This window comes from Homo sapiens, chromosome 21 (genome assembly GCF_000001405.40).
Source record: "Homo sapiens chromosome 21, GRCh38.p14 Primary Assembly".
Taxonomy (NCBI): domain Eukaryota; kingdom Metazoa; phylum Chordata; class Mammalia; order Primates; family Hominidae; genus Homo; species Homo sapiens.
The window spans coordinates 40,071,106-40,085,974 of record NC_000021.9 but is presented as its reverse complement, the minus strand read 5'-3'; the positions used below and the strand labels follow the sequence as shown (position 1 = coordinate 40,085,974).

General features: G+C 43.3%; 1 protein-coding gene across 4 annotated transcripts in view; it reads left to right on the top strand.

Annotated features, from left to right (window-relative positions):
* The window catches only part of DSCAM (DS cell adhesion molecule), an 836,160-nt gene that overhangs the window by 761,184 nt on the left and 60,107 nt on the right, over positions 1–14,869 (top strand). For 3 of the 4 annotated variants that reach the window (NM_001271534.3, NM_001389.5, XM_017028281.2), the window contains 5 exons: positions 210–373; positions 1,969–2,067; positions 5,635–5,823; positions 6,998–7,288; positions 10,762–10,938. In NM_001271534.3, the coding sequence (NP_001258463.1) occupies positions 210–373; positions 1,969–2,067; positions 5,635–5,823; positions 6,998–7,288; positions 10,762–10,938 (920 nt within the window). The remainder of the gene's footprint in view (positions 1–209; positions 374–1,968; positions 2,068–5,634; positions 5,824–6,997; positions 7,289–10,761; positions 10,939–14,869) is intronic. The other variant, NR_073202.3, reaches the window with a different exon arrangement.

Sequence of the window (14,869 nt, the reverse complement as noted above, 5' to 3'; positions counted from 1 at the left end):
CAACGTAACATTTTTTACAAAGGAAAACTTCAGCTACACAGCTATTGATTGTTTTCATTATGTAATCATATTTAGTTCTTTCATAATGCAAGAAATATGAAGCTTCCAAATGTGTGGTTTGCTTCACAGAGTCTTTCTGTTTTTCCCCAACCTCAGCTAATTTGGATTGTAATTTCTTTAATCTGTGCATTTTTCTTCCTGTGAGGCAGTAACGGGACACCCAGTCTAGTAACGATTGATGGGCGGAGGAGCATCTTTAGCAACGGAAGCTTCATTATTCGCACGGTGAAAGCAGAAGACTCCGGCTATTACAGCTGCATTGCCAATAACAACTGGGGATCTGATGAAATTATTTTAAACTTACAAGTACAAGGTACAACATTTGAGGACTCTTTTTAATGATATCTTTTACATGTATGCTTTCTATGCAAAAAGTAGCACTGAACAAATTTTAAAATCAGCCCTTATAAAGAGCTAACTTCTGTTTCCATATTACAGAAAAAGAAAACACATGTTCATTTTGCAAAATATAATTAAACAAATCAAAGAAAATACAAAGCATTCACAACCTCAGAAATACTGAGATACAAAACATCTTTGCATACAGAAAGCCTAGTCTCTTTTTTCTTTATGTGTACATGTCTAAAAAAGTCCTTCTTAATAATTTCCATTAATTGCACTGTTTACTCTACATATATGTAAGTGTATCCCAGAAAACACAAACAAAAAACAAGTCTGAATTGTGGTCTTTTTTGTATGCTAATTAACTCAATTTTTATATGCAATGTATTTTAAAAAATGAAAGTAACTGGAGCTCTAAGTAGATCGCTGTAGTATTTAGCTATGTATTTAATACTAAGTATTTTTCTTGATATCATACACAAAATGTGCACAACTTCAAAAGATTGTCATGTTAAAATTTTGTGTAAATCCCAATCAATAAGTGATTGAGTTCAGATTTGTATGCACAGCAATATTTTATTAGTAGAAAAATCAAAGTGTGTGCTTCTTTGGATTTAGGTGTTGTCACATTAATAGATTACAGCAAGTAAAAATAAAATCAATACTGTTCTCGGTGGGATGGAAGGAAAGGAAAAGAACTATATTTCTAAAAATGCTGCAAAATTGATCTTGAATTTCAAATTAATTGAAGTCAGGAGAATTCCAGGGAATTTTGGAAGACAGGCACTATATTATGACTCTGAAGAGATAGGTCAATATATTAGGCTTCTCTCAGAGGAAAAGAGAAGGGAATTTTATATGAAGCTTTCTATATGATTTGGATAACCTGATTCTGAATTTCTTTAGTGTTTCTGCCCTCAGAACCCATCCAGACTTACTTACCAGTATGTATTCTACAAGCCTTGTAAGAGAGACCAGTTCATATTCTGCAGTTCAAAGGCCTGCTTTTGATTTTCTGTGTGTGTGTGTGTGTGTGTGTGTGTGTGTGTGTGTGTGTGTGTGTGTGTGTGTTGCATCTTGGAGCAATAGCTTAGAAAGTGAAGATTTTTGCAATTCTTTTTCCCACTAGCTATTTTTCCTCCTTCCCCTTTTCCATCCTGAGAAGAACGGAACTGCTAAGTGGATGCCATTTATCTTTTTCACTTAAATTTCATGGCTGAAATTCATAGTAAAATGAGGCATGTATCCTTAGTAAGTTTAAAGAAGATTTCAATTAGTGATAAATAACTCAGACAGTCAAGGAACTGGTGAGGAAATGAGTTAGATATGAATCCAAGTAGAAATGTGGCTGAATTTTTTTTTAAATAATAGATTCACTCCGTTCTATCTCTTTAGCCCAGGATATCAACTAAATAGACATTTTGACAGAAGTGAATTGTATATTTTGGCAAACTGAAACACTTATTTAATAAATGGCTGTTAAAAATGAGTTGGTAAATGACTGTTCAGGAAAGTTAAAGATGTGAAAAACTAATTCTTGTTTTCTAAAAACTGTTTCCTCTCCAGTTCCACCAGATCAGCCTCGGCTTACAGTCTCCAAGACCACGTCTTCCTCCATCACCCTTTCTTGGCTCCCTGGAGACAACGGGGGCAGCTCTATCAGAGGTAATAAGATATAGATTGTCCACAATAGTTGATTAGTTGTGTGATCCACATGCCAATAAGTGACACATCTTCAGCAAATGACTGGTATGTGTTACTTTATTCTCCCCCAAAAATACGTCATATAAACAATCCCTCCATTACCTAAGAAAGAAACCATACATTTATTTTTAGGATATTTGTTGAAATTCAAATCATTCATCCAAGGATGCTCATTTAAGAGTGAAATATCAACAGTTGCAAGAAAGAAAGAAAAAAGAAATTTGGATATCTCTTTTTTGAGATTCTAAACACTGTTTCTTTTTTATTTTGTCAACACAAAGTCATTCATTTATGTAACCATGGGTACTGTCCTGACTTAGAAAGTAATAAAAGACAGAGGACCTAAAGTGTAGATGTAAAACAATCTATTTGCACAAAACCTTTGCAATTAGTTCATAGTTGAGGTGTATAAACAAGATTTTGTTTTGTTTTGTTGTTTTGAGATGGAGTCTCACTCTGTCACCCAGGCTGGAGTGCAGTGGCACTATCTCAGCTCACTGCAACCTCCGCCTGTCGAGTTGAAGTGATTCTTCTGCCTCAACCTCCCAAGTAGCTGGGATTAGAGACACACACCACTGCTCCCAGTTAGTTTTTGTATTTTTACTAGAGACGGGGTTTTGCCATGTTGGCCAGGCTGGTCTCGAACTTCTGACCTCAGGTGATCCGCTCACCTCGGCCTCTCAAAGTACTGGGATTACAGGCGTGAGCCACCACGCCCGGCCTAAATGAGGTTTATATGGAAGGAGTGAGCATGGTCGTTCTAGTGTGGGTGGAGTTAAGCTAGAGACAGAAGATACACAGGAAAGAGGGCCTGTACCATAAAGGAGGTCCCAGGGCCGGGGAGAGAGAATAGGGGCTTAGACTTCCTAAGGCAGAGAACATCCTTTCTTCTGAGAGAGAAAGAAGGCTGGGAAGTAAACAGGAAGTCAGGAGCATTTCAGAGTGACATCAGTAGTGTGCTGGAGCAGCTCCTTCCAGCTCCGAGAGTGAGGTGCCACATCCCTTCCCAGCTTCATGCTCAGTGGCCACAGCCACCCTAAGAACATTCCCTCACCATGGAAATCAGAAATGCTACAAATCAGAGCCTTTTTTCTCCTCTCCAAGAACCAGTTGTTAAACATTTATCAGCACTCCAATGGGTGAAGGGAAGATCTTTTTTTTTTTTTTTTCTTTTAGGAAAGAAAAAGTGAGGTGATTTTTTTAAAATCGTGGTGAGGATGTGTCTGTGGATTTGAGGAGCATGGGATAGGTTTGTAATAGCTGCCTTGTGGAATGCACAGAGAGTCATTAATAGATGAACCGAGTCATTGCCAAGAAGCTTGCAAGGACCCAGCTGCAGATGCACAGCACAAATTGTACGAGTCACAATTATCACTGTCTAATGACTTTCTTTTTTGTTTTGTTTTGTTGAGACGGAGTCTCACTCTGTCGCCCAGGCCGGAGTGCAGTGGCACGATCTCGGCTCACTGCAACCTCTGCCTCCCGGGTTCAAGTGATTCTCCTGCCTCAGCCTCCCACGTAGCTGGGACTACAGGCACGTGTCACCACGTCCGACTGATTTTTTGTACTTTTAGTAGAGATGGGGTTTCACCATGTTAGCCAGGATGGTCTCAATCTCCTGACTTAGTGATCTACCCGCCTTGGCTTCCCAACGTGCTGGGATTACAGTCCTGAGCCACCACACCTGGCCTAATGACTTTTCTAAATGATTCTGGACAGCTGGGAAGAAAAGTGGATCACAGATTACCAGTAACATAAGCATTGCCAGAAGTCTGAAGAGTGAGAGAAACTAGGCTCCTTGTTGAAATGGCCTACCAAAGGTTCCAGGCTGACTAGAGAACCTTCTTATAGGAAAAAAATAGGGGGCACCTAGGGATGGGCTCGAGGGACCCTAGGTTTTAGGCTCAAATGAAATGAGGCTTGGATTCTACAAGTGTGAGAGCATGGGAGAGGTAGAACAAGAAGGGTGTGTCAGAGCACAAGGTCTTCCAGATGAAGCCAGTTTTAGTGAGGGAGAGTTTCCAAGACAAAGGTAACCCAGCATTCCTGAAACACAGTAGTGGCCAAAGCCATTGCCATCATCAGGAGGTGTCGTAAGTTGTGTGCCCACACTGATGGACACTGATGGCACTGAGGATGATAGCAGGGGACAGGGAACTATACAGGCCTATCACCAAGGATTAGAGGAGTTTTTTGAGGTGGCTTCGAGGGTGGAAAGTGGGAGGAAAGCAGAGTCCCTACAATGTGTAGGGCGGCTGGAATACAGGCTGGGATGTGGCTGGGAGCAGGTGCACAGGTATCACCTGTCAGGTACTGAAGGAGCTTTATGGAGGTCAGATGAGGAACACAAAGGCTCAGGAAGGAGGAGGGACCCTATGGCCACAGAAGGCCAGTGGTGAGGGAAGGCTGAAAGGAGTAGGGGAGATACTGACAATGACCTCAGAAGGAGGCATCAGAGATGAGTGATCGCCATGTAAGGGGTGTGGAAATCAGCAAACCTGCCCATTTGGGTTTAGGAGACACTGTAGTGTGCAGGGAAAAAAAATGCTTTATTTTTATTAAAATGGAGCTCCACAGGACAGGAATAGAAGGTACCAACCCGTTGTTGCAAACACACCATGTTCCAGGCCAGCTAGCCAGGGTGGAGAAGGAACATGGCTGCAGATAACAGGGCTGAAGGAGTTAACAGGAAGAATATTTCAGCATTCACAGGGGTGAAGAACATGGGCTTCAGGCTGACTGCAGGATCTGCATCCTCCTTTCAGCACTTGGGACTCACCGCTTAACTGCTCTGGACTTCAGTGTCCCACGTGTTCTGTGGGAGAGTCGTCACTGTTCCATAGGGTTGCAGAAATACTGTAAGCAAAGGGCTTAGGACAGGGCTTGGCATGGAGTGAGTGCTCTAGAGTGGACAGTCATCCTTACTAGTTGTAAAAGTAGAGGTAGTGCTCATGTGGGGGAATGAATTGTTGGAGGAATTTTTCAAACCAAAGAGAAGCCAGGTTACTGTCAGAATAGTGGGATGGCTGCAAGACTTGGAGCTGTTTCTCCTAGTGTCTGTGAACTGTGAGACCAGGAGTACATGAGGAGTGAGGCAGTTGAAGAAATCTCTACTCCCATTGATAATGTATCCCTTTCCCAGAGATTCGAGTGTCTTGCAAAAATAACAGCTTCAGCCTATGTCTTCACTCAAGGATTCAGGCATGTATGATCTGAGGGACAGATATTTGGCAACTTAAGTATTCCCTGCTGCTCAATATGGCTTTTAGAAGAGAATGAGCAGAAAACAGCAATACTTCACAGTGATAATGTCTGGTGTGGCCCAAATGACTCACTAATCAATACATCATGGTGCTTCTCCCAGGCTGGGTTACATTTCCTGGAATCAGAAAGAGCGAAAATGTTCCTTCTGAAGATTCTTCAGTTCTGAGAATGCTCGTTCTATTACCCACACAAAATGCAAGCATCAGTCCACTTCCCATAGAAAGCAAACACAGTGCTCATGTGAATCTTTCTCATTCTCTGCAGGATACATACTGCAGTACTCCGAGGACAATAGTGAGCAGTGGGGGAGTTTTCCAATCAGCCCCAGCGAACGTTCCTATCGCTTGGAAAATCTCAAATGTGGGACTTGGTATAAGTTCACACTGACAGCCCAAAATGGAGTGGGCCCAGGGCGCATAAGTGAAATCATAGAAGCAAAGACCTTAGGAAAAGGTAGGTATGCCTTCTCATCGCTTCTTAATATCCTTTCTTTTCCCGGCCAGAAGAGGAGATTGGAATCATAAAAGATCCATCATGTTTTACGTTTATGTGTTTGAACTTTGTCATTCCTCACATGGCTTCAGCAGTGCCACGGCATAATGAGAGGGACAGCTGGACCTTCCAGAGTGTTCTGGTCCTCTCTTTTATTGTTTCATTTGCAGTTAAAAAGAAGAATGTCAGTTTGAAAATCAAGGGCGTTGGTGTGAATGTGAGGTGCCAAGGCTGGGCAGCCATGAAGCGTGGCGCTTGCCCTCTCAGCCGTTTGGAGGCGCCCTTCTCCCTTAGCCACCCTTGCTCCCACCTTCCTATCATTTCCACATTGCCACATAGCCACCGCTTTTCAGAGGGAAAATGATGGGGTAAATTGCGTTTGTTTTTTTTTTAATCTAAAATGTGGACTTTCAAGGAGATGAATCCCAAAGAAATCATATTCAGAGAAAGAGGTTTTGTCCCAGGAACTCCAGAAGGAAGGAGGGATGATGCAGCTCTATGTGGGCATAGGAAGAAGGTGAGGAGATGTCTTTGCAGGCTTCCCTCCCATAGGAGTCCTACCAGGTGGGGTGGGGTCAGATGGCAGGAGAGCGAGTAATGAGATAGCAAGGGTATTATTTGTGCCTGGTGCCACAGTTTTGGGTAACAAGTGGTAAGAGGTCAAATGATCGGGGATTGATTTATGCAGAAATATATCCTTTAGGTCCCTGGGCACCAAGACCAAGTGTTTAGTTGTGGAGGAAAATCTGTTGGTGCTTCCCAAATCCAACTCTGTCTTCTCTTGAATCAGGTTCATCACATGAGGATGGAAAAAGTGCCCAGCACACTGCCCCGCAAACCACAGAAGGAAACCCATATGTGAACATCCTATTGTTCTTTAGGGAACTCTAAGATACCCCAAAATAACCTCCACCCATGCAATTTTCTGTCACACACCCAGGTCATTACAGTTGGAGAAAGCCTGTTGGTCCATAAAGTCTCTATTAACAGGGGACAAGTTGCCAGTGGCCTGTGAGCCAGACTTGGACTGAGCTCCTGGCCTCGCTGGAGGAAGCAGTCCGAGGGAAATGCGTGAAGATGCTGATGGCCTCCCCATGTGTCCTGTGAGCTGACCTCCATGTGCCTTCTCCCCCAGAGCCCCAGTTCTCAAAGGAGCAGGAGCTGTTTGCCAGCATCAACACCACACGCGTGAGGCTGAACCTCATTGGCTGGAATGATGGCGGCTGCCCCATCACCTCCTTCACACTAGAGTACAGGCCCTTTGGGACCACAGTTTGGACCACAGCTCAGAGGACCTCTCTCTCCAAGTCCTACATCCTGTATGACCTGCAGGAAGCCACCTGGTATGAGCTGCAGATGCGGGTGTGCAACAGTGCGGGCTGCGCGGAGAAGCAGGCCAACTTCGCTACGCTGAACTACGATGGCAGTAAGCTGGCTGGCTTTGTGGCTCTCCTGCTTGTGTCTTGGGGGATGTGCACGTGGGCCCTGCCCCTTTCCCATCGAACATCATCTTTGCCATAGTTTGACCAGTGCCCACGGAGCCCATTAGGCTTTCGGGATTCAATGGACTCTGTCTGGGGCTCCCTAGTTCGTTATATCCAGATGACCATCACTGTGTGTCCAGAAATAAGAGACTCAGGGCCATAGGGAGTCTCACTGGGGAGTCATGGGGCAGGAGTGATTTCTCTTAGGGCTGAAGGACTCTTGACCCTGTGGTTCTGTGCTTGTGTTGATGTCTATGAGCTAACATTGCTTTTGTTGTCTCCCACCCCTTTCCCCACCTCATCCCAATCCACATAACAACTTTCTTTTTTGCACTCATTACACCCTAAACTGCATGTGCAAAAACAATTTTCCATGGTAAAGGAGCTTATGTTAGTCTCTGGGCAGGAGCAGGGCCACTGATGGAAATAGGATAATAATAGGAATCCATGAACACGTGCACACACACAAACTCACACACACTTGCCACTTGCATTTACTTTCCAAAAACTAGGTGAGGTGTCTCTTGACATTAGTTAACCAAAAATAAATGGTTTAAAATCTCACTCATTTTTTCTGGTATCAAGGGCCATTTATTGCTAACTGAACAAATGCTAAGCCCAGTGAAGCTGAAAGGAGCGAGTCCTCGACTGCAACTTAGTAGGGGAACTTTAGAAAGTCCCAGCAGCAGCGGGCTGATGCTCATTTCTCACTAGGGGAACAGCAAGGATTGAGTTAGGTGCTCTAATTGCAAGGTAAAAACGGCAGCAATGCATCAGGATGAGTTGGAACTCCAGTGCAACTCTCCTCAGAGCCTTCTATTCACTGCCTGTTGGTCAGGCTAGACCACAGTGTTGAATGAGTTAACCAAGAAACACCCAAACCCTTTATTGACAGCCAAGCCAAGACCACGTTGGAAGTGCTCCTCTACCTGTGGGTGATGCTTTGTGAGGGGATGCCTTTCAATGAAGTCACTCATAACTGAGGGCTGTAAAATTAGACAGAGGCAGCCCATGAAAAGCATCAGCATTGCTCTCTAGGAGAGTGATTCTTTCTTTACTTTGTGCATTTGGGAGGCCGCTTTATTAAAGCTCCAGCAGGTAGCTCCTTGGAGCACAGTTTATGCCATCCTAAGAAGAGTGGCTGTGAACCTAAGGACCCACAGAAATGACCACCAGGAGCTAATGAGGTGACATTGCCTGGGATTTTCATCGGACCAATTTCTCCTATAATGTCCGGATGGCCCAGGGCTGGCTCTTCTTGCTTTGGCACACAGAGCAGACCTACCCCAAATCTCCTGTCCAAGGTCATTTTTCCACAACATCCTTCTCTGCCAGAGTCCAGGGTCTTCCTGGCACTTCTGGCCTGGGTCTCAGGGCTGTAGGAAGACCTTGAGCTTGTAGAAAGCTCTTCTAGTGTTGGTTACGCTAGCCGGGGTCCCTGGCCTCTGCACGGGCTCTGTCCTATGGCCCCAGAATAGCCTATGCCCTCCCAGACGACAACTTTTCTCTTCAAGGGCTGATGCTTTTCATGGGCTGCCTCTTTCTAATTTTATAGCCCTCACTCTTCAGTGACTTCATTCAAAGGTGTCCCCATCACAAAGCATCACCCAGAGGCAGAGGAGCACTTCCAAGCTGGCCTCTCCCTGTAATATGGTTGAATTATTTGATCTTACAAAATAAAGAACTTTGACACTTACCAGACACTTTACTTAGCATTTAAGGGTGCACCAAAATCCTCTGTTAACCAGCACACATTTGAGTAGTAAGTATCTTTTTTACTTTAGATCATTATCTTGCAATATTCACACTCTGGTTCCCAGCTTCTCTATAATATGTGCAGATGCCTGGGCACCCAGCTTAAATGTGCACACTGATGATATGCTCACAGCTAATGATTTAATTAGAAACTACTCATGTGTAGAATTTGAAACTGTGATTCTAATTCACAAAGTGTTCTGCGGATTTTAAATGTTTGTCTTCTAAGAAAAGATATAATTTTCTCACTTTATCCAAGATCCCAAATTTTGAAAAATGCTGCAAGCTACCTTTACGTTTTGGAAATATGAAATCACTTTATTACACTAAGAAATATGGCTGCATATTTATATTTTCCTTGAGAGAGATTACAGATTTCTTTGGACCAGTCTCATGAATGGATAGCCTCTATTGTCACATCTGCCTGAAGAACTTTGTTATCTTGAGAAAGCCAAGATTGGCAGCCTACATTCATACCACTCAGGTTTCAGAGTCCTCCATTTAATGATCTCACTCTTTCTTCTGCCATTTCCTTAGCCGAATGTTTCTGCTTGACCTAGTGTTGTCTTGGTTTTGCAGACCCCTCTTCATGGGCATCCTGTAAGTGCCTCTTTCCTGAATTTCTAAGCATTTGGAGACTTGGGCTTCCACAAAAACACTTTAAAGTTGGGAGAACACTCTTCTCAGCTTTAGCAGAGATCACAGAGGAACGAGGATTCCATTATCCCTGCTCTGCTTACTAAATGCAGGATAAAGACCGTTTTGCTGAGGGAGAAATTATATTATTTTTGCATTCTCTTTTCCTGAAGTGCTGACTTTCTGGCCCTTGTTGTACATGGAAAGTGCAGTGGCGTGGAGCATCTTATATAATGGAGGGTAGCAAAATATATACCTCATAAAAAGTGGATGCCTGTGTTTAGATCTCTGCACCCACGGTACTGAGCATCTGGATAGAAGGCAGCTTAAGATAGCTCAGAGTTCATCTTCCTTCAGTGTTTCCTTATTACTCGAAATAATCTAGATTTTGTAGCACTATTTAACCATGCCTGATCAAAAGTAGGCTCCTTTAGAAACCTAGTTGGGTCCCCTTTGAAAAGCTGTCTGTAGCTCTTGTACCCTCAAACCACAGCTGTTGAAGTAGATTTGGTCTTACACCTGCGATAAAAGCCAGCAAATTACCTAATCACAAGGGATTTGAGTTTCTTTATGCCAGTGTATCTAGGACCCTCTCCCTGCACACGCGCTTCTGTCCATTTGCCCAACCTTTTGTTCATTCTTTGATGTGCAATTTTTTCGAATAGTCTCTATCAATTGTACTGTGGGTGACAGTCAAGGGAACACTTAATTCTGGGTAGATGCATGTGGCTTTTGTCAGCACCAAGCCTGGGCCTCATGCTTTCAAGTGCCTGCACACTGTAGTGCATTGCAAAATGAAGTCCTTTTCAAACGTGCACTATAGAATAAGTTGGAAGTTCAGGCAGAGGGAGGGAAATAAATAAGAAAAAAAGTTAGCCAGGGCCTAGAGACAGAGTTCTTTTCATTTCTCATCACCTCCAACACCCTTGGATCACACAGCGCGATTTTTATAACCTGTCATCCCTAAAAGCTCCGCCATGCCGTCTTCATTAATAGCCATCTAACACCGTGGCCCTGCTTTCAGGTACAATTCCTCCACTCATTAAGTCAGTTGTCCAAAACGAAGAAGGGCTGACGACCAACGAGGGGCTCAAGATGCTGGTGACCATCTCCTGTATCCTGGTGGGGGTCTTGCTGCTGTTTGTGCTCCTGCTGGTTGTGCGGAGGAGGCGGCGGGAGCAGAGGCTAAAGAGGCTGCGAGGTAGGTCCAGGCCCAGCTGTCCACCTACGCGTGTCCCCTGCTGCTCTGCAGCCAATGGGAGAGATGCCAGCTGGAGAACAAACCTCAAAAGGGAGTGACTCTTCCCTCTTTAACCCAGGTCCCTCCACTGCCTGGTTCTCTGACATTCCTTCAGCGAGACTGCAGAGCCTCAGGGAAGAGCAATAAGAATGTTCCTATCTCGGTCAGAAATCAGGTGAAAGCCAACCTGTCCCCTAAATCCTAGCTGTTGGTATGCAAGGAAAATTAATTTTTTAACTCTAGTCTCTTAAATTTTCAGTGGGTCCAGCAAAGCCACCAATTGTGGCTTTCTATGAAAAGATCTATCAGATTTGCTCTGGGAATGAGAATTACTTGACTGACTGGAAGTGGAAATTGAGGGCTTAGGATACTGGTGAAGCATTGTGAGGCAGAGGACACATGCCATCCCAAATTAGAAACGGGAGCTGAAGCCCAGTGTAAGAGTTTCACTCTAATGTAGCAAAAACATAATGAAGGCTGGAGAAGCCAGGCCAGATGAGCTCCATTGTGAACAGACACCATGATTATAATGTCCAGCCCCGTGTCGTTCTGTGATGAGGCTGTTCTCAGCTTCTGGCCAAGAGCCCTTACTTGCCCTTGCTCTGCAATGTGAGGACAGGGAGTTATTTCAAATATGAAACTGTGCAGACGTGTTCCCAGGTCCTTTGCCCTTTACCAGTGAGGGTGTTTAACTAAGCCACTTTTTCGGTAACGTGTATTACAAGGGATTTTCATTTTAATATCAGTGCAGTGTGGGATACTGCTATGCAGCATCCTATGTGTGTTTCAAAGTTATGTTCAAAGTACAAATCTGGAAGCACTCTCTCCTCAAAACATATCCCAAACTTTACTGATACATTTAGAAAACGTTGACCTCTTCTGTAAATACTTAATTTGACCATAATCCACTTAGAGCAGAGAACATGGTAATATTTTCACCTGTCTTCACTTATCCAAAGCACCAAAGCACTGCTTTTTATGGAATTCTGGTACATTTCACTATCAACTTGCTTTTGCTCTGCCAACAAATTACAATTCTGAAGTACATTGTACTTCATCTGTACAATTAAGAATCTGTCCATGTAAATCTCCTGCAGCCCAATAATTCAGGTCAGCCATCAGTCTCCTTGAAATGTTCTTTCGCAATCGTGCGAACCAATTATCTTTTAATTTTGCAGACATTACTTGAGTGAATGCTAGGTGCTTAATACACAAAGATGAGAAGAAAGAGCTTTCTGAACTCTAGGTTTAAGGTAGGAGGTAGGCCCATAAGCAGCTACCAGTGAAAGACAAAACATGTCATGAATACAGAAATAGGGCTTCAAAGAAAGACCGCATCAGTGAAAAAGAAGGACGGATTAATCCCAAGTGGAGAGGAAAAGGGAGGCTACTTCAGTGCTAAGTAAAACAGAACTACAAGCGTATAATACAGCCCATTATGGTGAGAAGTTCCATATAATGTGGACCATGTTGAATTCCATTCAGTTCATCACTAAAACACAAAAAGGATGTTTTCATAACCCTTGTTCACAGTGGCCTGGACTTTAGGAGAATTATTATGAGATACCAAGGGTGTCTTTCCTTGTTACCATTAGACAACTATGTCTAACTACTTGCATTTAGAAGGCTGCACATTGTCTGTATGATGTTTCTAAAAACCAATAGTAAATATTTCTTATTAATGATTTTGATTTAATCACAAGAGTTAAGCATCTAGGTAATGCTTCTCATCGGTCTACACCCTCGCCAAATTCACTTTTTCTTCTTTTCCCTGACTCCTATTGCTCTCCATCCTTCTCAGCTACTATTTTATTTTTCCTACTCACCTTCGAACTTGAGCACCCCAGCTGTGCATTTCCTCTCGCTGAGAGCACCTCCAGTTAAAGGTGCTGTGGGCTCTTACTGAGTGAGGCCTTTGGGTTGAAATGATGACCCATGCACCCTGTATTTGTATTCTTAGTAGTTCCTTGTAATTTAATTGTTGCTGTACAAGGGCTATCTCCAGAAAACATCCTGGGGCTGGCATTTTTATTGTTGGCCTCCCTGCTTCCAGACACTAGTGTTTTGCAGTTGGTTTTGGTAAAGACAGCAGTCTATCACCTCAGAGAACATGGCCTTTCATTCTCCGGAAATAGTTTTGATTTCTATGTTCTGGGGAAAAGGTAAATCCAACACAAAGGTTTCAGTAGGAAGAAAGTAAGTGCTGAGGGAAAGAGGGAGTATTACTAAGAGATGTTAAGGAGCAAAGGATTTCAGAAAAGTAGCTTGCCATGGCACAAAGGTATCTGCAGTTCGGCATTTTGTACATGGCTAATAAAGGGTTCTCTCAAATCAAGAATCTGACAGGAGAGGCCGGGTGCGGTGGCTCACACCTGTAATCCTAGCACTTTGGGAGGCCAAGGTGGGCGGATCACGAGGTCAGGAGATCGAGACCATCCTGGCTAACATGGTGAAACCCCGTCTCTACTAAAAATACAAAAAAAATTAGCCGGGGGTGGTGGCGGGCGCCTGTAGTCCCAACTACTTGGGAGGCTGAGGCAGGAGAATCGCTTGAACCTGGGAGGCGGAGCTTGCAGTGAGCCGAGATCCCGCCACTGCACTCCAGCCTGGGTGACAGAGCGAGACTCTGTCTCAAAAAAAAAAAAAAGAATCTGACAGGAGGGCGGTCAGGATGCCAAGGATTGGGTACCCAATTTCACACCACTTCTGAATGGCAAGTTTTAATGTAGACACACTGCAATAAATTCAGTTTGACAAACCACTGTAGATTATCTACCAGGTGCAAGATGGAACCTTTTTTTAAACTAGTGGTAACATTTGCTGGTTGACCATTTCTATTTGATCACAAGAGTTTAGCCAGGTCCTAGAGAGAGAAGAGATTTCTAAGACTCAGAACTATAAAGGTGACATTGTAGTGGCAGTGGGTCAAGGCTTGCAAGGGGCAGACTCATCTCCGTAACTGTGCAAAGCACTGCCATAAAAGGACAGCGCCAGAGGTGAGGGTGGTAAAGGGGAATCGATGAAAGGTCAGGCATTGCCCCAGAAAGACGTTTGTTTCTTAGCCCTGCAGGGCCCTGAAATGTTCATTAATGATACAAAGTATTTTCAACTCACTCATGGAGGGAAATTGCAGCTGCAGAGTTTAAAGGAATAGGTGCCTGTCTATTAAATATCCGGAGTGCATTAGTCGAATCACCCAATAACAAGCGAACCCACATAAGGTACAGACTCTGTGCCTCTGGGAGAATAAGTTCAAATATATTTACAGACTCTACAGACAGAATATTTTGATTGTCAAAATTAAGGACAACATTTCTAGTAACATGTCAGTGTTGCGTGAGCAACCATCTATCAGGATCAAAAATGGAAATAAGGAGATTTGAATTATAGAAAAATATTATAGGGATCCCCAGTGGATGTTTTTAGAGTGATTAGGTGGGATCAATTTTATATGGTTGAAATTGATCACATTTTTCAATTGCTAGAAACAGCAAAAATGTTTATAAGCTGAGTATGTTTTACTGTATAGACAAGTAACCTAGTTAGATGAATATAATATAATGTTATTTTATGTAAAATTTTAGAAAGAAAGAAAGAAAATGGGACTCTAGCAGTGTCGTCAACCTATATTCTCTCTTCCTGAGTACTTTACTAATTTTAGAGCATGGCGACCTCCTAAACTCTAAATTGCCTGCAAGTGCCCACATTTTTTTTTAAATCTATAACCTTATCCAGGAGTTCAGGAGCCGCATTTTGCTTTTAATGATGCCCTGGTTTTTCTTGAACTTCTAGATCCTTTGAAGTGCAAGGTTATAGAGTGAGTCACTGGTTGGGCCTGAGATCCCAGCAGCCCTAACCTTATAAAATGTGATCCCGTGTCAAGTAATCAACT